This window comes from Homo sapiens, chromosome 1, assembly GCF_000001405.40.
Source record: "Homo sapiens chromosome 1, GRCh38.p14 Primary Assembly".
NCBI classification, from domain to species: domain Eukaryota; kingdom Metazoa; phylum Chordata; class Mammalia; order Primates; family Hominidae; genus Homo; species Homo sapiens.
In genome coordinates, this window is record NC_000001.11 from 55322168 (window position 1) to 55343177 (window position 21010).

General features: G+C 44.4%; 4 annotated features.

Moving 5' to 3' along the window:
- Window positions 1588-2120: an enhancer, noted in NCBI's record as "OCT4-NANOG hESC enhancer chr1:55789428-55789960 (GRCh37/hg19 assembly coordinates)". NCBI's record gives its function as "activates a minimal SCP1, AML or CMV promoter by ChIP-STARR-seq in naive H9 embryonic stem cells {active_cell/tissue: H9 hESC(naive)}" and the evidence as "EXISTENCE:reporter gene assay evidence [ECO:0000049][PMID:30033119]".
- Window positions 12331-12832: an enhancer, noted in NCBI's record as "H3K4me1 hESC enhancer chr1:55800171-55800672 (GRCh37/hg19 assembly coordinates)". NCBI's record gives its function as "activates a minimal SCP1, AML or CMV promoter by ChIP-STARR-seq in naive and primed H9 embryonic stem cells {active_cell/tissue: H9 hESC(naive and primed)}" and the evidence as "EXISTENCE:reporter gene assay evidence [ECO:0000049][PMID:30033119]".
- Window positions 12833-13332: an enhancer, noted in NCBI's record as "H3K4me1 hESC enhancer chr1:55800673-55801172 (GRCh37/hg19 assembly coordinates)". NCBI's record gives its function as "activates a minimal SCP1, AML or CMV promoter by ChIP-STARR-seq in naive and primed H9 embryonic stem cells {active_cell/tissue: H9 hESC(naive and primed)}" and the evidence as "EXISTENCE:reporter gene assay evidence [ECO:0000049][PMID:30033119]".
- Window positions 15993-16082: an enhancer, noted in NCBI's record as "active region_1072". NCBI's record gives its function as "activates an Ori minimal core promoter by ATAC-STARR-seq in GM12878 lymphoblastoid cells {active_cell/tissue: GM12878}" and the evidence as "EXISTENCE:reporter gene assay evidence [ECO:0000049][PMID:35858748]".

Below are 21010 nucleotides of genomic sequence, written 5' to 3' on the forward strand. Positions count from 1 at the left end.
CTGGAACAGGGTCTTTAGAGGTTGTTTGTAAAGCCTAGGAAAAAATCAAGGGACCATAGCTAATTGCAGCCTCTGACTCCTGGGCTCAAGTGATCCTCTTGCCTCAGCCTCCTAAGTAGCTGGGACCACAGGCCCCTGCCCCTACACTTGGCTAATTTTTATTTTTATTTTTTGTAGAGATAAGATATTGCTATGTTGTCGAGGCAGGTCTGGAATTCCTGGGCTCAAATGATCCTCCCACCTCATCCTCCTAAAGTGTTGGGATTACAAGCAAGAGCCACCATACCCAGCTGATAAATAAATTGTGTATGATAAAATTCTTCTGTGGCCTTCATTCCATTTCTACAACCATCAGCATTTTGCCACACTTGTTTCATCCATCAACTAGCTTCCCCAGCTTTTATTTTCTTGTAATATTTTAAAGCAAATTGTAGCCATCACGTCATTATGCCCTAAATATTTAAGTCTACTTTTAAAAAACTGAAGGGTTTTAACCTAAGCATAGTATCATTGTCACATTTAACAAAATTAACAATTTATTGATGTCATCTAATACCAAGTTTCCTTTATTGCCTAAAAAGTCTTTTTACAGTTGGTCTGTTGGAATGAGGATTCCAACAAGGCCCACAATGTTCACACTAATTCTTATACATAACATATAGTTGAGAAGCTCTAAGCCCAATTAGGAGAAAAAAAGGAAAGGACAATTATAATTGCAGCCAATCATAATGGCTTAATGGAGGTAATGTTTTGAAAACTATTAATGTGCTTTTCTATTTTGCTTCCTTCCTTTCTTGACCTTTGCTCTAGGTGTCTTGAGGCATCCATCATCCTGGAAGAAGACTATGATTTATAACAGAAGGAATGCAAAAAGAAAGAACAAGTTAATATTTCTCTTTTGGCATGTCAAATAGAATTATTCAGCAAGACAATAACCTTGCAAGCCAGGCGTTGTCTTGAAAAACCATTTCCAAATTTCTTTAATCCTTCCCTTTGGCTTTTCAACAATGCAGCCTGATTGAACCAGTTTATGGAGTTCTCCCTAAGTGCAGAGAAAATACCCATATCCTTTATTAGGGTATCTCTAAGAAACTGAAGTATGGAGGGCATGATGCAGGGGAAATCTGTCATTTTGGGGCCCTTTGTGATAGAGAGAAAGAGAGAGAAAGAGGAAGAAGAAGATGAGAGAATCAGTTTTGATCATGTATTCTCCCAGCTTTGGCCCAGAAAATAGGGAGGCCTATTGGATGAGTGGGGATATCACCAAGGGCAGAGGAAGCTTTTGTCCTTCTTCCTGCTTGAGACTCTGCAGAATAGACTGTCATCCTGGGGTGTGACCACATCCACATGGCAGTGTGGTATGACCTGGCAGAGGGAGTCCTTGACACTTAGTTTTCCTGAGCCATTCTTATTTCCAGTGAGGCACAGATGGACCCAGAAAATGGTGGGAGTTTGGCTGGGGAGTATTACCAATGGGAGTCACCATGGCTGGGCAAGGTCAAGGTACTCCGTAGCAAGGGCTGCCCAGTGGACCACCTGGGCCAGGCCAATTGGAGTCACAGCAAATGGGAAGGAGTCTAGACCCAATAGATGAGTCCAAAAAGCTGCAGAGAGCGAGAGCTAGCAAGGCAGTCCCCTGGGCTCTGATCTGCTGAGGAAAACCTAGGCTGTAAGTTACTCTTGTACAGACACAGACTTCAGCTGTGAATCCCAGTAGGGTAAGATGCACGCAGGTGGATCAGGGACTTCCACCTAACCCTGCCTAGAAGAGTAAGAGGAATCTGACCTTTTGCCTGCCGCGAAGGTGTTCAAGCTCCACCTGTCCCTCTTCATATGCAGATGTCATCTTGGAGGGGAGCTAGAAGACTGATGTGTTTGAGAAACTAAGCCTTTATTTCCCCTCAGAGGGGACCATTCTTTGAAGGGACCATTTAAATTATCGTGTAATACGAAGGTTCAAACTTTATTAGATATTAAAACAATCAGTTTGTCCTTTTGAATGGCTTTTGGCTATTTCCAAAATTCAAATCCGTTAGAAGACAAAGATTAGACATACTGAAATGCTTCTAAAAATATTCTAACTGGTGAATATATGAGAAAAGAATTAACCTCATTAATTATCCACTCGAATGTAAACTAAAACACTATTCTATACTTCCTTCTTTGAAATTCATAAACGTTGGAAAAAAATACAGAAAATCTACTAGTTAGTAGGAAAAAAGTTGTAGACAGAACAAAGGGGCCACATGCTCTTGGTCAATCTGAGTTTTGATGGAAGTTAAATGTTGCTGCCCTGGCATAACACTAACATTTATTAAGCACTTTGTCTGTGCCTGGTGCTGTTTTAAGAAATTTAGGTGCATTATTTCACTAAACCTTGTCAATAGCCTTATGAAATATATGCTATCATGGCCTCTTTTTATCAATGGGGAAACTGAGCCACAGAAAAAATAAATACCTTGTACAATTAGAAAATGGCAATTTGCTGGGTGCGAGGGCTCACGCCTGTAATCCTAGCACTTTGGGAGGCTGAGGGAGGAGTTCAAGACTAGCCTGGCCAACATGGTGAAACCCCATCTCTACTAAAATACAAAAATTAGCTGGGCGTTATGGCGGGTGCCTGTAATCCCAGCGACTCGGGAGGCTGAGACGGGAGAATCACTTGAACCTGGGAGACGGTGGTCGCAGTGAGCCAAGATTGCACCACTGCACTCCAGCCTGGGCAGCTGAGCAAGACTCCATCTCAAAGAAAAAAAGAAAAAAATGGCAAACTTAGGATTTGAGTCCAGGAAGTCTGATGTGAGGGCCACTGGCCTTAACCTCTGCCCTCTGCTTGCCCACAGGTTGGGACACACTGAAACCCTTCTTCCTATGTGACAAACATCAGGTCCTTACCACTGACTAGGGGGTGGGTGGGGAATTCTAAACTATTTCTTCTTGTCTCTATTTCAGTTTTAAGCCTCTGTAACCTTAATGCTTGTCGACAGATCTGTTTGTTTTGAGGATTGATATGATATTTCCGAAAACAACTAGCAAAGATATAGCTGCTTAATCATCATTGCTTCTAGAACCCAAATCTTGCTTAATTAGACAAATTAACACACTCTATTCTTTGAAAATATCTAGGGAAGAACTTGCCACTTGCTTCCTGCCTTTGCAAGTGGAATTTGCTGTCGAGGCTTCTCTGAATAGCATCACTGTCAGGCCCTGGATCATTTATATCACCTTATCAGGGGCTGAGAGACTTTAGGGAATCTTCCAGCCAAGCCCAAGAGATTGGCTCTTGGGCTCCAGTGATTGATCCACCACAAGAAGAGCATGCTCTTGGGTAGCTGCTGCCCCTTCAGCCTGGGCCCTGGAATAAAAATATGTGGAGCAGACTTGACCACAGTTTGCCGCTACACTTAGCTGTCCAGCAGGCTGAAGTGGAGCTTCCCAGCCAAGCCTAGCCTGAATTGACTGAACCATCATTGATTTGCAGATCTGTAATTGTGAGAATAAATTCTTGTTGTCAAAAGCTATTGAGTTTTGGGGTGTTTGTTATGCAGCATTATGGAAACAAAAGCTGCCAAATACAGTGGGTTGTGTTCTAAAGTCCACATGCAGGTTTAAAATGTGAATGATGGGACCTACACCCTGCTGCATCTGGAAACATAAAAGAGTATAACTTTAGGAAAGCAACATGAAGCTATATCTACAAGAAGAGCTTTATTTTCCAACTTAGAAAATAACCAGGGACTGGGCGTGGTGGCTCATGCCTGTAATCCTAACACTTTGGGAGGCCGAGGCAGGAGGATCACTTGAGGTTAGGAGTTCAAAACCAGTCTCGCCAACATGGCAGAACCTCATCTCTACTAAAAATACAAAAAAATTAGCCAGGCGTGGTGGCAGGTACCTATAACCCAGCTACTTGGGAGGCTGAGGCAGGAGAATTGCTTGAATTCGGGAGCTGGAGGTTGTGGTGAGCTGAGATCTCACCACTGCACTCCAGCCTCGGCAACATAGCGAGACTCTGTCTCAAAAAAAAAAAAAAAAAAAAAAGCACAAGAAAGAAAGCCCCACAAACCAGGAATATGGAATGGATAACAGTTCATCACAGTGTTATTCCTAATAGTAAAAATTGGAAACCATCTTGAAGAATAACGTTAGAATTATGATCAAGTAAACAATAGCCATATAATGGATTACTACATAGTCTGTCAGGACTAGGCTTAGCTAAGAAATACCTAAAATAGTGATTTAAGCCAGATTGAAACTTATTTCTCTGAATAAGTGAAGTCTAGAGGGAGGCAGTCCACACCTGGTGAGATGGCTCAATAGTCAGCCTCTTTCCAGCTTTCCACTCCCCATCCTTAGAGTGAGGCTCAGTCTTCGTGGCTCAGGATGGGTGCTGGAGAACCAGCCATCCATCACATCCACATTTCAAGCAACAGGATGATGTATGTATGCTGTCACTTTAAGGAGACATCTTAGAATTCCTCATACAACACTTTGTTTATATTTCAGTGGTAAAACATAACCACAACAGTGTTCCCAACTAAACATTTGGGTACCGTAACCATGGAAGAAAAGGAGAATACACATTGGGAGGCACACATACGCCTACTCATTAAATTTATAACCACGAAGACCTCCAGGGTGTTCCGCCTTACAATTTACCTTGGTGTCTGATAGCTACTGGACCCTTTGCCTCCGTTATAAAATAACTACATTCCCAGAGTTTGTTGGAACAAAGAATGCCCGAGTATTTCCCATGGATTGAGCGTGGGCCACGTGTGAGAGGGAGCTAGTGTGAGAGGTAGAGGGAGAAACAGACTCTGTAGAAAGAGGCGAGAGGCGAGTGTTTGGGTTCCTTGGGGCTGCAGGAGCAGCGCGTCAAAGGAACTGCAGGTGTGGGGCTTAGAGCTCACAGACTGAGCTTTAAACACAGCTGAGCTGAGAGTGTGATAAAGCTGTCTTATGACAGTACCAGTCCATTAAGAACTTACCTGCCTGTCTCATTTTACCTCTCTTTCCTCTCTCCCCATCCCTGGGGAGCGAGGAGGCACAGTTAGTAAGAAGGGTGAGGAAGTGTGGAAGTATCAGGTGGAGAAGGAGGGAAGAAGGATCATACCTTTCCTCAACCTACTCCCCTGCAAAGAAAGCTTCTGGCTTGCAGCAGTCCCCTAGCTATGGGGAGGGGAAGTAGCTGACCCTTTGAATGAAAATTGGAGCTCTGATTATTCCATGGGACTTTTAATACTTGAATTGAGACTACATCTTTGATTTAAAAAGAAGGCAGGGCTTTTTTTTTTTTTTAAATCACATACGTGTGAACGGAAGATTCATGAGAACTGTCATAATTTTCATCTAGAGGCAGAGGAGGAACAATTTTTCCCGATGTATTTTAAAGGCTATTATGAGACAAAAATAAAAGCACCACATCCTATGAGTCCTATTTGTTCACCATGTCAGTTACATATAGGGCAATACTTACGTAATAATGTTAGCCAAAAAGGCAATGTGCAGATTTATATAATATGACCCAACTATGTGAAAACACTGAGAGAGAGAGACAGGGAGTGAGGGAGAGAGAAAGAGAGAGGTGGGGGAGGTGGGGAGAGAGAGAGAGGGAGAAAAAGGAGAGAGAAGATAAAGGAGGTATGATAGGAAATAGCAAAATGTTCAAAGCATTGTTGTCTGCCCTGGGATGGAAGGCCGAGGGGCAATCTTGTCCTGTGAGCTCCCCAGCCATTCATTATTCCATGGCCTGTTGGCTTCCATCTCTGTATCATAACACTTTTTAAAAAAAAATTTTCACTGGGCGCAGTGGCTCACGCCTGTAATCTCAGCACTTTGGGAGGCGGAGGCGGATGGATCACGAGGTCAGGAGTTCAAGACCAGCCTGGCCAACATGGTGAAACCCTGTCTCTATGAAAAATACAAAAATTACCTGGGCATGGTGACAGGCACCTGTAATCCCAGCTACTCAGGAAGCTGAGGCAGGAGAATCGCTTGAACTCGGGAGGCTGAGGCTGCAGTGAGCCAAGATTGCGCCACTTCACTCCAGCCTGGGCGACAGAGCGAGACTCTGTCTCAAAAAAAAAAAAAAAAAGTTTGAGATTGTTGGTTTATTGGTTTATGTGTCTCTGATTAGACAGTAAACTACTTCAAAGGAAACATGGCTTCATTCAGCTTTCTCTCTACAGGGCCCAGAACAGAGCTTAGAACAGTTAGTGTAGAATAAAGGTTAAACACTTATTTAAAAAGACGGAACATTATTAAAGCAAAACCAAACCAAAACAAACAAAAACAATAGGCAAAGCTGAGGTCAAAAGCTTTAGCTGAGTCCCCCAAATGTTGGAATCATTCTCCCATCTCTACTCCCAGACGATTTGCTTACCTTCCCAAAATGCCACTAGCCCTGCATTAATGATCTGTGTGCTCATATTAGTTATCTGTAAACAACTTGAGGATTGGACCCATATAATAACAATAATAGTATTTATTTGACACCTATTACCTGCTGGGCAGGGTGCCAAGGCAATGCTGCCCACACTCTAATACATACCTGGGGACTTGTTAAAAAGCAGATTCTGATTCAGTAGGTCTGGGGTGGGCCTGAGTTCCTGCATTTCTAAAAGGTGTTGCCTATGCTGCTGGTCCCAGGACATGCTTGGAGCAGCAAAGTGCAAAGGACCTTAACCCATTTAATTCTTCAATCAATCCTTCAATAGGCAGGTACTATTTTACTCATTGCATTTTGCGATAAGAAAACCGAGGGTCCAAGCAGGCGAGTGAGGGTCATGCACTTATTAGCGGCATTGGCATTTGGACACAGTGCTGTCTAACTTCAAAGTGTGGAGTCTTTCCACAGTGCCACAGGCTCAGCTTGCACAGGGGCCTCTTACGGGAGCCATCTTTGCACTATCGGACCCTGGAAGGAAAAAGAAAAGGGAGAAAAAATTGTGTTTCTAAAAATAAACCTTGGGCTCTGGAGGAAGGCAAGGGACTGTGAGGGATTACTGTCCACTGGAGAAAGCACGAGCATCCTTTTCCGGAGTGTGCTCATAGGCTCCTCTCACAGCCCCAGGCCTGCCAGGAAAGGGCTCTCAGTTCCAGCTGGGGGAGGGCCAGGACCTATCCCAGTCTGCTCAGTGGGATAGCACCGGAATGGAAGCATTAGCTTTAATGGGAAAGGCCTGTTTGCAGGCGAAGTAAAGTCAGTAACTCACACTTCAAACACCTGCAGGTTCATTAGCATCCTGACAACCCTCAGGTGAGGAAGGAGCTGTTATCTCCATTTACAGACGGGAAAACTGAGGGTCAGGCTGGCTCTCAAGCCTGGGTCTTCTGATTCTTTCAAATCCTATGTGACACAACACTGAGCTCTTTGGGGTTCATAAAAGGAGGACCAGGAATGATGGAAAAGATCCAAACATCCGTCTTTGAAGGCGGGAAATCTGGGAGGAATGACCCTCGGTTCAAATCCTGCCACTTAGGAGCTATACAGCAGTGAGCAGGTCAGTGGGCCTCTCTGAGCCTCTGTGTCCTTCTCTGTAAAGTGAGTATAATGATTGTGTGTGTGTACATATCTACGGCTCATTATTCATAGATTTCCTATTTGCAAATTTACCTACTTACTAAAATTTATTTGTAACCCCCAAATAATGCTTGTGGTGTTTCTGCAGCCATCTGTGGACATGTACATTGTGGTGATAAATTTGAGTTACTTGATGCATGTTTCCATCTGAGGCTGAACAACGCAATTTCCTGCCGCTTCATGATCTGTTTAGTGCTATGTTGTTTGCATTTTTGTGCTTTTTTCTTGGCCATGTTGCTGTTTATGATGGCCTCAAGAGTAATACTAAAGTACTGTCTAGTGTTTCTAACAGCAAGAAGTCTATAATATGCCTTCTGGACAGAATGTGTGTTACATAAGCTTTGTTTGTGTATAAGCTGCAGTGCTATTGGATGTGAGTTCAATGTTAAATACATCAACAGTATTTGTTTAATAAGGTGTGTTTAAACAGAAATACATAAAACAAAGTTATGTATTGATTAGTTGATGACAATGCAACAACCGGAGGTTGCAGGAACCTAACTCTGTACTTCCCCTAGGAAAGATGGTTCAGCATTCACAAATTCTGTGTTCACAGTAACTTTACAGAAGATAACTACTGCAAATAACAAACACGAGTTGACTGTATATATTTCAGGAACACATTGAATGTCAGTTCCTTTCTTCTGCAGTTTTACTCATTGATCTTCCTTGGAAGGGCCATGCTGGTGAGCCCTAGAGACTGTAGCCATGGTCAGAGGCAGTGTGGCAGGGTAGGTAGGATAGTTGAGTGCATGAGTGTGAACTCTTCTTATAAGACCTTAAGCAATCTACGTCACCTCTCTCTTTCCCATGTCTGCAAAAGAGTGTCTTTGTTGTCCATGTCTGTAGAAGGTGATGATATGGTATCTGCTTTATGGTTTGTTATGAGGATTAAGTAAGCTAAGATGTATAAAGTGTTTAGAACAGAGCTTGGAAAGCAGGGCTGGGACTAGGGTAAGCTGCCTAGGGTGCAAAAATCTATGGAGACACTCACCCTGTGCTTGCTTGCCTCCTTAAATTTTGTGCTCTGGGCTGGGCGCAGTAGTTCACGCCTGTAATCCCAGCACTTTGGGAGGCTGAGGTGGGGGGATCACCTGAGGTCAGGAGTTCAAGTCTGGCCAACATGGTGAAACCCCGTCTTTACTAAAAATACAAAATTAGCTGGGTGTGGTGGTGCACACCTGTACCCCCAGCTACCTGGGAGGCTGAGGCAGGAGAATCGATTGAACCCAGGAGATGGAGGTTGCAAGGAGCCAAGATCACATCACTGCACTCCCTCCAGCCTGGGCAACAAGAGAGAAACTCCGTCTAAAAAAAAAAAACCAAAAACCAAAACCCAAAAACCAAAAAACTTTTGTGTTCTGGGTGTCTTTCTCATTTTGCCCTTGTCCTGGCCCTGCTGGCAAATGAGTATTAGCTACTGCTATTATTAACAGGAAGTCCCCCCTGCCCTTCTGGAAAGGGTCCTGGGGCCACTGTCAGCTGGCCTGGTTTTCTTTGAGGCCCGACCATCACTACGGGTGCAGCATGCTGTCTCTTTGGGCCTCTGTTTCTTCATCTGTCAAATGGATCATCTGTCAAATGGAGATGACCTCATTCTTGATGTCCTTGACCACATTGCCCACCTCTGAGGGTGGCTGTGAGGATCAGATGAGATAATGGGTGGGCAAGCTTTTGTAAACTGTAAAATGCAGGACAAACAGGAGGTGTTATTACTCATCTGTAATAGCCCCTTCTAGCTCGGTCATCCATCAAACAATCTCAGCTTGAGTTGAACCTGCTCATGGCTTCAGCCCGCACCGCCTCTCAGGGAAATGAGTTCCATATGGCTAACCTCCGTGGTAGGAAGGAGAACATTATTTTTTATTTATACTAAAAACTACATTTGAAAAAGCTTCACGCCTGGCCTTTTCCAAATCTGATATCCTGGGCTTCGGCTTTTACCTCGTAGGCTTGCTTTGGTCTTTGAAGGTACTGCCATAATTTTACAAGAAGACAGAGATGAGACATTTGTTGAGGACCTACTATGGGCTAGGCAATATGTTAAGTGCTTTAGGTGAACCCTCGGTAGTCCTTACAATAACTCTGCCAAACAGGTCCTTTTATTCTCATTTCACAAGTGTGGAAATGGAGGCTAACGAGATTGAGTAGCTTACCTGGAGTCACAGTCAGTCAATGGTGGGGCCAGGATTTGAATTTGGTTCTGTCTGAGTTTAGAAGTGAGGATAGGGAGGTGCTGGAGGCTGGTGTTTCTAACACCGGCAGGCTTGGGGGGTCACACAGATTGTATATAACCTTCCTTACCTGCTGGGTGACCTTGGGCAAGTTACTTTAAACTCTCTTAACCCTCAGTTTTGTTTTTCACCTGTAAAAACAGTGATTATAATAATGTTTACCTTGTAAGGTTGTTAGGAAATTTAAATGAGTTAAAATATGTCTAGCATTTATCACAGTCCCTGGCTCAGAATAAGTACTCATCAATGCTAGTTACTGTTTTAGGATGAGGAAACTGGCTAAATAAGTGGCCCCTTGGTATGGAAGGATAGCTATGTTTTGCGGTGGGGTGCAGAAATGATGCACTTACAAATGCTCCCAGCCCCCTTCCTGTGCCTGAGGGGGTGAGTGCCATTTTTCAGGCTCAGCTTCTTCTCCACCCACTCCTTCTCCTTTGGAGCCTCTTGTAGTCAGCCCTGCTCAAGTCCAAGAGCTCACAGCCATTCGCACTTCCTCCATCACCTGAGAGCATTATTCGGTACTTAGAAAACATCATTTGTTGTCTTCATGATTTTGTCTGTAGCTCACTTTGGCCTTTGCAATGAGAAGGAGAGGCTTTGAAGGCTGGTTGGGTGTGTGGGAGAGCAGAGACAGGGGCTTTGGGCAGCCAGGTCCTGAGCGGAGCACCTTTTTACCCCGGGGAGATGCCAGGAGAGAAGCTAGGGTCAAAGCCCGAGTTCAGTGCCTCTTCCCTGTGAAGAAAGGAGTGATCCCTCTGTGTGTGTGTGTGTGTGTGTGTGTGTGTGTGTGTGTGTGAGAGAGAGAGAGAGTGAGAAGGAATGTGAGCAGGAGGATTGGGAGGGCTTGTGTAAGAGTTTGTACGTGTTAGAAATGTGTAGAGCGATGATAAACTCAGAGCGTTTCTAAGACAGGAAGCGATTGGAAGTGCTGGGTAGCGAGTGTGAGGATGTGTGTTAGGGAGTCCGTGTGTTTTCCCCATGTGAGAGTGAACAGTGGAGGTGCAGCAGATGTGTGGCCGTCAGTGTGTGTTGGGGTCTGCGAAGGATTTATTTAGTCTCCCCTTCTGTGGATCTGAGTGGGAAGGTCACTGTACCAGTGGCTGGGATGTGGAACAGAGCGGGCTGGGGAGTGGGAAGGTCTCCTTATTCCTGCACAGGAAGTCCCTTCACAAAGAGATTGGGTAGCAACGGATGCCAGGAGATGGCTGCGGCCTGGCCTAGTGGCCCCTTCCAGAGAACAAGGAAGGGAAAACAGATAGTGTTTGCACAAGAGATACTGAGAACCAAGTGCTTACGGGATTATGGGATCAAATTCTTATGAGATTACCAGATTGGGCAGGCTCTGAGGGATGATCTGGAGAGGACCTACTTCCTCAATGTAAGGTGGGATCCTGAGGTCCAAAGACAAAAGTCATTAGCCTCTGGTCGCAGACTTGACCTTGAACTTCACAGGGGCTTCAGGGGCTTGGCCCAGTGAAAAGGAGGAAGCCTTGGCTGGGACGATGGAGTGGCAGTGTGGGTGGACAGGATGGAGGTCTCCAGGGGCAGTGGTTCAGTGCATAGATGTGATGCCATCCAGAGTCGTCTGGTGGGATGGCGGTGGGTGATAATCAGCTGGAAGGGGCACAGCTGCAATTATGTGACTGGTGGCAGGGTTGTGGGGGTCAATGTCCAGCCCTCTGCAGTATCTGGGAGGAGTCAGAGAGAAACTCGTGGCAAGGAACAAAGGGAAGACAGGAAATGGGGGTGGTGAACGGGGCAAACAAGGCAGAGCAAGGCCCATCTCAGGCTTTGCTGGAGGAACCCAGGGCAGCTGCATGCCCTCCCAGGCTGTTTGAGTAGGGTGGCCAAGGCCTGGGTGGGCACAGTGATGGCTTATCCCTTCCATCTGCCCTTGGAGGCAGGCTAGCCTCATCCCGAGACACTCAGCTGACCCACAGCAGTCCTAGCTGCACCCGAGGTAATCTTTTGGGAACCCATTCTCTCCTGTTTGATCCCAGTGTGCTCATTCTGAATCCTTTCCTCTGGGTCTGAGCTCCCTAGTTCCTGCTCCAGTTGTGACACATCTCTGCCTCTCCTGGATTTGGTGCATAAGACATGCGGGTGTCTCCCACTCTGGTCATTGTCATTGTTTTGGGCGGGCATTTCTGTGAAGGTCCCTCAGATAGGGCCTCAATGGGGCCACCCTGGCTTTCCTTAGGAGATGGAAGCTGATGGAAGCTGTGCCCACCAGAGACCCCACCACCAATGTGGAGGATGTATGGGTGGTGGAGGCTGCCCCTCAAGCAGGCCACTTGTGGGAGGAGCCCTAGGGCTGGGTCTGAGGAGGCACAGCCCAGCCTGATGCAGGAGTCGTGGGAGGAAGATGAGGTCAGTGCCAGGAAGTAGAGTTGTGTTGGAGGCTGGGAGGGAGGTAGCTGGAGGGTCAAATTTGTGGGGTGGAGTGGCCCAGAGTGGCAAGCAGGCCAACGTCAGCACGAAGGAGGTGCAGAGAGCTGAAGAGGTCTGAGAGAATAGAGCAAGGGATCTGGGGATCCAGTCTCCAGATGCTAGTCCTCCCAGTGGCTCCTGGGCAGGGAGAAATGAAGGACATGGGTCTCATTTGCTGATCATGTGTGAACTCATCTCCAGCAAAGAGGAAATGTTAGTTGAGGTTCTCTGAGAAGCACATGCCAAGAAAGGTTACTTGTTCGAGAGATGTATTCGGGGAATGCTTATGAAGGTTAAAGGAGAGACAGCAGGAGTTGGCAGGGTGAGCTGGCAGCCTTGATGCAGATCTGTTACCTGGGAAAGCAGATCTGTTACCTGGTAAGCAAGGAGGGTTGGGCAGGAAGGTCTCAGACTGCAGCACACCCCAGGGTAGTCTTGGCCAGGCTGCTGTCATAGTTCCCAAGCCAAGAAGCCCACGGCTGGAGGCCCACATCTGGTAGGAGTGGGTGGGCACCAGCACCCCACCGTGCCTGTCATTGGCTGGGTGCTTGTCCAGGGAAGCTGTGCCTCAGTGCACATGGGGTGGAGGGTGTAGAGGGGCAGCAGCCGTGGCGGTCACATCGGCATCCTTGGCTGGGCCTCGTGAAGGGCAGCTGGTGGTGTATTTCCATGGCCTTTAAATGGCCTAAAGAGGCTGGGGGAGGTGGCTCCAAACTACTTCTGGGGGCACATGACTCTTCATATTGCCTCTTCCAAACACTCACTGGCAGTTAGTTCCTTAATCCAATTCATCTGGCACTTACTGAGAGTCTACAAGGTGTACTTTCTGTACAAACTTTAAGACAAGCAGCCTCTGCCCTCGAGGGGCCTGCTCCCTAGTGACGGTGATCACATGTGCTAATGCCATCGGAGTCATCAGAGGTGCAAGGTGAGCCTTCCAAGGGGTTGGAGGAGAGGGAGAAATGTCCACTTAGAAAAGTAGGTTGAAAGAGAGTTCAGGAAAATGGTGTATATGAGTGGGTCCCCCTGAGTGATTGGAATTTGTCAGTGGAGGGAGGGAAAGGGAATTTGACTCCAGAGGAGGTTGGTATATAGCAGAGATGAAGAGTTGGAAAGAGCCATGTTTGAGCAATAATGGGGGCTCCTTTTGGCTTGAGGGGAAGCACAAGGGCAAGCAGTAATGGATAGATTTGGAAGAAGGGGTTGGAGCAGGCAAGGGATTTTATGCTATAACCTACAGGGAGTTTGAGTATGGATGGGCCATGATCTCTGTGGGGGCTTGAAACATGCTTATATGATAGACCTAAAACGTTTCATGAATCTCCCAACCCTAAGTTGTCCAAAACACTGCAGCTAGGTAGCCCCAGGTATCTTTCATTCTATAATGACAGAGTCATTCCTTTGGCTAAATAATACCCTCTTCAGCCATCCCCTGTTTAATGCAACTTCTCTTTGATGAGATGACCGAGCAAGCCTGCTCAGCAATCAGTCACACTTTAGTATAAATGGGTTTATCAGCCGTTTTCTGTTCAGGCTATTTGCTGTTAGAAGGGCCCTTAGGAATTACATAGTACCATCCCTCTCCTTGTTCACAGACGAGGCTACTAAGAGCCAGAGAGCAGAAGTGATTCTCCAAGATTATGCAGCCAGCTGGTGCAGAGCATACCCTCAAACCAAGATTCCATAATTGAGAACACAGAGTCTGTGAGCAGGAGGTGGGGAAAGTTTATAGCAGGCATCAGAGGCAGAAGAAGGGGCAGGAGGGAGGGTGGGGTGAAGCAGGAATCTGTGGGAAGAGGGTGGGGAGGTCAAGAACAGAAGAAAAGTCCTGTAGTTGATTTTTTTTTTTTTTTTTTTTGAGACAGAGTCTTGCTCTGTTGCCTGAGCTGGAGTGCAATGGCGCAATCTCAGCTCACTGCAACTTCTGCCTCCAGGGTTCAACCAATTCTTCTGCCTCAGCCTCCTGAGTAGCTGGGATTACAGGCGTGCGCCACCATGCCCGGCTAATTTGTGTATTTTTAGTAGAGATGGGGTTTCACCATGTTGGCCAGGCTGGTCTCAAAATCCTGACCTCAGGTGATCTGCCCACCTCGGCCTCCCAAAGTGCTGGGATTACAGGTGTGAGCCACCATGCCTGGCATGGCAGCAATTCTTGTTCTTGAGGTTTTCCATATTGTTCGATTTTATTCCGTGTTTGTCTCTGCAGCTGAGTCCTGTAGTTGAAAAAGCACTGGTGCCTGGGATTGAGACCTGGGTTCTCTGGTTCTGTCACTAATTCTCCTTGCAACTAGCAAGTCACCTCCCTTCTCTGGGCTTGTTTACACAGCTATAATTGGAGATAATAAAAATGTTCACCTAGACTCATGGTGAAGATAAAGGGAATTAAAGATGTGAAAGTTTGCTTTAACCAAAAAAAAAACTCTATAGATATATGGTGTTATGTGCATATTATTAATAGGGGTAGGCTAGGGTTATGATGATGAATAAATAAGTCACTCCATGTGACATGCTTAGCAAGGGATAAAGTGCTCAAAAATTAGTTATTATTTTTCTTTTTTATAATTTGACCAAGAGCCAATTTATCCAGAGACACTTTTGGAATGGGTTTAGGTGTAAATCATTTTCCTTAAGAAATCTGAACCCGAGCTGCTGTCCAGAGGCCAGAGTGCCGGGGCTGAGCTCTCACTCCTGCCCTAGCCCCTGCTCAGTTCAGGGGTCTCGTGGAGGGCGGCTGCAGCTTAATGTTTCATACTGTCTCTGCTACTCCACCTCTGTGAGATAGCCACTCTTACTATTTCTGTTCTACAAAACATCTCAGAGAGGGGACACACCTTGTCCAAGGTCACAGAGCCGGCCTTAGTTGTGGCCCAGAGCAACCTGGAGTGGAAGCTGCCAGATTTAATACCACCTCTGTGGAGTGTGAGCAATGGCCCGAGGTCATTGTGTGTAGGGGCCTAGCACTATGGTGGCAGAGGCAGGGGTGTGGCAAGCAGTCCTCTACTCTTGCTACCTTCAAAGGACTCATGTTTTTAAGGAGATGGATGTGTTAACATTTAACTGTGGCAATAAAGTCATCTTTAGAGTCATTTAAATTCCAATTCAATCCCATCTCCAAAATTTACTAGTTGTGTGACTTGAATAATTTAATAACAATAATAATCATAAAAAGCTTCCACTGTTTCATACTTGTCACTAACACCATTCTAAGTGCTATATATTACAGCAGCTCTAATTTTTTTCTGGTAATTTGGCAAGAGAGGTATTATTATTTTCATCTTGCAGAAGGAGCTGAAGCTTAGAGAGCTTACAGTGAATTTCTCTAAGCGTATCAGTCAGGGTCCAGTCAGAAGATAGAAAATGCACACTCATTTGAGTAGGGAAAGTTTAATATAAAGAGCTGCTAACTAGCAACAAGGAAGATTAACTACTGAGGGGTAAGGGTTACTTGAAATAATGCAGGAATAGAGGATTTAGGGAGCAGTACTACCTCTAGGGCTAAGGCAGGGTACCCAAGGAAGGAACACATCTGGAAGATAACACCCTCTCCTCAAGGCTGGGATTCAGACCTCATTGGATGGGTGTGGCTATAGCCCACTGGAGGATGGAGAGGTTTGCTGAAGTGCCACAGTGGGAAACCAGCCTCTGGGGTGCTGACAAAACTCTCCAGGGATTTGTCTTCTGGGAGTGTGACAAGACTTCCTGGGGAGCCACTCATGGAAGTGCTGCTGAAATTTGCTGGGAAGCTACCCTCTGGGATGCCGGTGAAACGTGCTAAGCTATGAGCATAACTGGATGTCCTTTACAAGCTGGTTGCTATTGACAAGGAGCAAGAAGGCAAGCGTGTGGAACCAGGAAGAAAAGTCCCCTTGTAGTTTGCCTGTAGTGCCCTCTACTGACAAAGCTTAATATAATACCAGCCGGTGAAGGAGAAATGTTCATAGGGTCCAGCTCCAGCCTCACAAAACTGGGCAATGAAGAATGAATGTGGCACTGAGAGGCGATACACTGATAACTGGCACAGTAAATATTAGAACCTATGAAAACCCAGGCTTATCTGACACAAAAGCCCAAATTCTTTCTACTATAACACTGCCTGATATGGTTTGGCTGTGACCTCACCCAAATCTCATCTTGAATCTCAATCTCCATAATCCCCACGTGTCAAGGGCGGGACCAGATGGAGGTAATTGGATCATGGGGTGGTTCCCCCATGCTGCTCTTGTGATGGTGAATGAGTCTCATGAGATCTAATGGTTTTATAAGCATCTGGCATTTCCCCTGCCACCCTGTGAAGATGGTGTTGCTTCTTATTTGCCTTCTACCATGATTGTGAGTTTCCTGAGGTCTCCCCAGCAATGTGGAACCGTGAGTCAATTAAACCTCTTTCCTTTATAAATTACTCAGTCTTGGGTATTTCTTCACAACAGTGTGAGAACAGACTAGCACACTGCCTTTTTTTTTTCAGTGTCTATGATTTTATTGGAACATGGCCATGTTTGTTTACATATAGTCCTTGTCTGCTTTCACACTTCTACTGAAGAGATGTGTACTTGTGCCTGAGACCTTATGTCAGAGTGCTTACATTCTGCTCAGCACCCTACAAATCTCAGTGATGGAGTTATAATGCCACAATGTTTTGAGGGCTGTGTGTATCTCTTTACTTCAACATTTTATTTAGTTTAACTGCCAGTTCATATCCAGAACACTGACTTTTTTGACCTTTAGTCTTCCCATCTCTAAACTGGCAACAATAATACTTAACTCATAGGAGGCTGTATGCATCAAATGAGATGACATAAGTGTAGGTTTGGGATATGAGAGAAGTTCATTGAGAGTGGCTTACTGGCCTGCCTTTTTAATAGAACTCTGTAAGAGATTTGAGGCATAATCAAGCCCATTTTTCTAATTTCATAGGAGACAAAACTGAGGTACAGATAGACATGATTTAGCTCAGGTCTCAACACCTACCAATGGTTTTGAGGACAATAATTAGAATCTGGGCCACCTGACATTTATTTCATTTCTTTTCTTAGTCAAACTCTGCAGCTTCAAATTTGAAATCTTAGTTAGCATTGAAGTAGGGAGAGGGTATAGCTCCATGTGAAATTATTTAACAGTGGCTGGCCTTACACTGAGGCCAATACCAAGACTTAAAAAAAATTTACAAGGAGAAAAGGCTATTTTGGCCAGTCCGAAATTTTTTCTTAAAGATCAAGTTAGAGTTTTTATTTTATTACCAAATTCACAACATGTGACAAGTCAAGTTCATTAACAATAATAACATTTTGACATAGAGAGGAATATAAATAAATATTCCATTACCATAAGAGCGTCCTCTTGGACTTCTCATTTCCATCCCCAATTTCCTCCTGTAATTGCGTGGAGACCTGGTAACAATATTCCAGCCTGAGTCATCTGGGAAGGCTACAGTCTCTTTCTCAATTTTTCAAGAGTTTCCACTTGTGGGTTTCTCTTCCAATCTACATATTCTCTTTGGGGGATTGCAAACGTAAGTCTGGTTTTAGCTGTGTCCTCCAAATAATAATTGCCAAACCACTGTCTTTGGGTCAGACCTCTCTGACCACCTTCAGACTTCCCTTTCTAATGCCATCCGGGCATGTCCACATACATTTCTCCAGGCACCTTAACCTAGTAGTCCCTCCCATAATGAGCTCAGCATTTGCTTCCAGATCTGCTGCTCCTGCCTTTTGTCACTTCTTCCTGCACTTTGAGTTTTGATTCTAGATTCTTATCATGGACCACAGGCCCTGCCTAAGTTGGTCTCTGCTACTCTCTCTCATTCATATTGTGCCACTCTTCCTTTTATTCATTTTCTTACTTTTTCATTTACATCTTCAAAAGCCTTTCCTGCCCCAAGGTCTTCAAACAAGATGATTTTTTATTTGTTTGTTTTTGTCTGATATACTTGTCCTCTGACTTTTTGTCTGGTAAATTTCTTCTCATTCATTAGGCCTTCGTTTAAATTTAATGTCTTCAGAGAGACTTTCTCTAACTGCTCCTGCCCGGTTGTAAATTAGAACTTTCTTATTATTCTCCTTCATGCCACTTGTCCTAATTTGTAAGTGTGTGTTTATCTAAGTGTCTATTTGATCAATGATCTTCACCACCACACTTCAGAAGACAGGGTTCCTGGCCAGTTTTGCTCACCAATAAATCCCTAATACCTGCGCAGTATGCTTGACATATAGAGGACCCTCAGTAAATATTCATTAAATAAATGAAGAAGTAATTTGTTGTCATATGCGACTCTGCTTTTCTCTTCATTTTTCAAATAAAAATGACTGGCAACTTCTTTTAACATTACCTCCTAAATATTTCTCAAGCTACTCCTTTTCTCTCCATCTTCATTGCCAATTCTAGGGTTTAGGCCTCCTTATTTTCTCACTGGTGCTATCAGAGCACATTTCTAATTGGTCAGTGCATTGCAATTCTTGCTCCTCTCCACAGCTACCAAAATATCTTTTTAGAATAAAAATCTACTTATATCACTTTGCTGTTTAAAAAACTCTCAGTTGCTACTCATTACCTCTTGAAATGTGGCCAAGATCTTCTGTAAGGCCTTTCTGGCCTTCAAAAATTGGTCTTGCTTTACCTTTCTCCACCTTCATTTCCCTTTACTCTTTGCTAGAATGTAAGCTCCACGAGTACAAGAGTATTGTCTGTTTTCTTCACTGCTGTATCCACATTGCTTATGTGTCAGTGAGCTATTGCTGTATCACAAACTATCCCCAAATACTTAGTGGCTTAAAACAACAATCATTGATGATTTCTGATGAACCTCTAAATAAGCATGATCTGTTAATCTGGGCCAGACTCGACTGAGTTTGGCTGGGCTAGCTCATGTCTCTACCATGTATCACATCAGTTGGAAGGTTGGCTAGGTGCTGGCTGGCTTAGGATAACTGTGATGGGAAGACTCAACTTGCTGCATGTGGCTTCTCATCCCCCAATAAGTTATCCCAGACTGCCTGGTGTGTGTATGTGAGGGTCAGGAGGGTAGCAAGGTGTCCAAGAGAGGAAGTGGAAATGTGTACGTGTTTTCTCAAGCTTCTACTTGTGTCAAGTTTGCTACTGTCTCACTGGACAGGGTAAGTGACATGGCCAAGCCCAGAGCCAGAATGGAAGAGACTGCAAAGTTACCAAGCCATGGGTAGATATAGGAAATCTATTCTTTGGGGCCACTAATGCAATCAGTCAGCTACAGCCTAGAACAATGCCTGGCACAGCGTGGTGTGAAATACATACTTTTTGAATGAATATGTGATACTTTCTGTACATCTTGAATGAGCACAGTCTTTTCCATAGTCAAACCAGAATACAGGCTGACTCCTAACCTGTGGTTCTCAATCTGAAGGTCATGATTAGACCTTGGATGTTCATGAACACCCTGAAGCTGTAGGTAAAATTTTGTGTGCTTGCACCTATATGTGTTTCTTTGGAAGATAGTATTTATATCTCTCACCAGATTCTCAAAGAGCCTCTGCCTACCCCAAGAGTTAACAATCACTTTTAAAACCAAATAAACTTTTATAAATTTCTGCTTTTGTATATGGTGTTTCCTTTGTTGATAGGTCCTTTCCTTTTCCAAAAGTGACATGCTCCTTTTCATCCATCAATGATGAATGAAGTTGGTTATTTTTTTGTCTGACCATATAAAACAGGAAAAGACGTCCTCATGCCCAAAACGTGTTACTGAAGATGAATAAACTTAAAATGAGGACAATGGTTTCATAGAGAATCATAAAAAGGCCAAGATTTGGTGGGAAATTATTTAGAAAATGGAACAAAAAATTGTCATGTTTATTTAATACAATTGAGTTGCGTTGCAATTATATGTGAATGCTTATGATGAACCAAGAATGAATCAATTGTTTGTTTCTTCAGTGTAGTTATCCTGATAACATTGTATGCTAGCAAAAATGCATTCTTTACCTTTGACCTTTGCAGCGTGGTCAACAACAGAGTAATTTTGTAAATATAATAAAAGTCTTATTAATTTTTCCTTTAGCTTTGTTTATATCAGAAATATTTTCCTCTGAAGCACCTATCATGCCATTATCCTTTTTGATTTTCTTCAATGGCTAATGTGTCTAATTCTGCCATCTGTGATCTGCCAAATGTGTCTAACTCTGCCAGATTATCACTTATTGGTGATTTTGCTTGTGATTTATGCAGTTCTTCCCTGTTACTTTCCTTGACTTCATGACATCCTGCATCTTTGGTAAATTGCAGTATTATTTTGTGGACCATTTGCATTTTATATTCCTTATATTATAGAAGTGGTACATTTGGCTATGAAGGAGACTTCCACCATCCCAGACACTTCTTTGTGGGTCATAATCATCAGTGTCAAACAGCGTGTGTTTATGTGTGTGTGTGTGTGTGTGTGTGTTGTTGGCGGGGGGGGGGGTGGGTAGTACTCTTTGAATGGGGATTAATTTTTATAAATGGTAGGTGATATGGTTTGGCTCTGTGTCTCCACCCAAATCTCAACTTGAATTGGACTCCTATAATTCCCACATGTTGTGAGAGGGACCCAGAGGGAGATAATTTGAATCATGGGGGTGGTTTCCCCCATACTGTTCTCATGGTAGTGAGTAAGTTTCATGAGATCTGATGGTTTTATCAGGGGTTTCAACTTTTGCGTCTTCCTCATTTTCTCTTGCTGCCACCATGTAAGAAGTGCCTTTTGCCTCCCACTGTGATTCTGGGGCCTCCCCAGCCATGTGGAACTGTAAGTCCA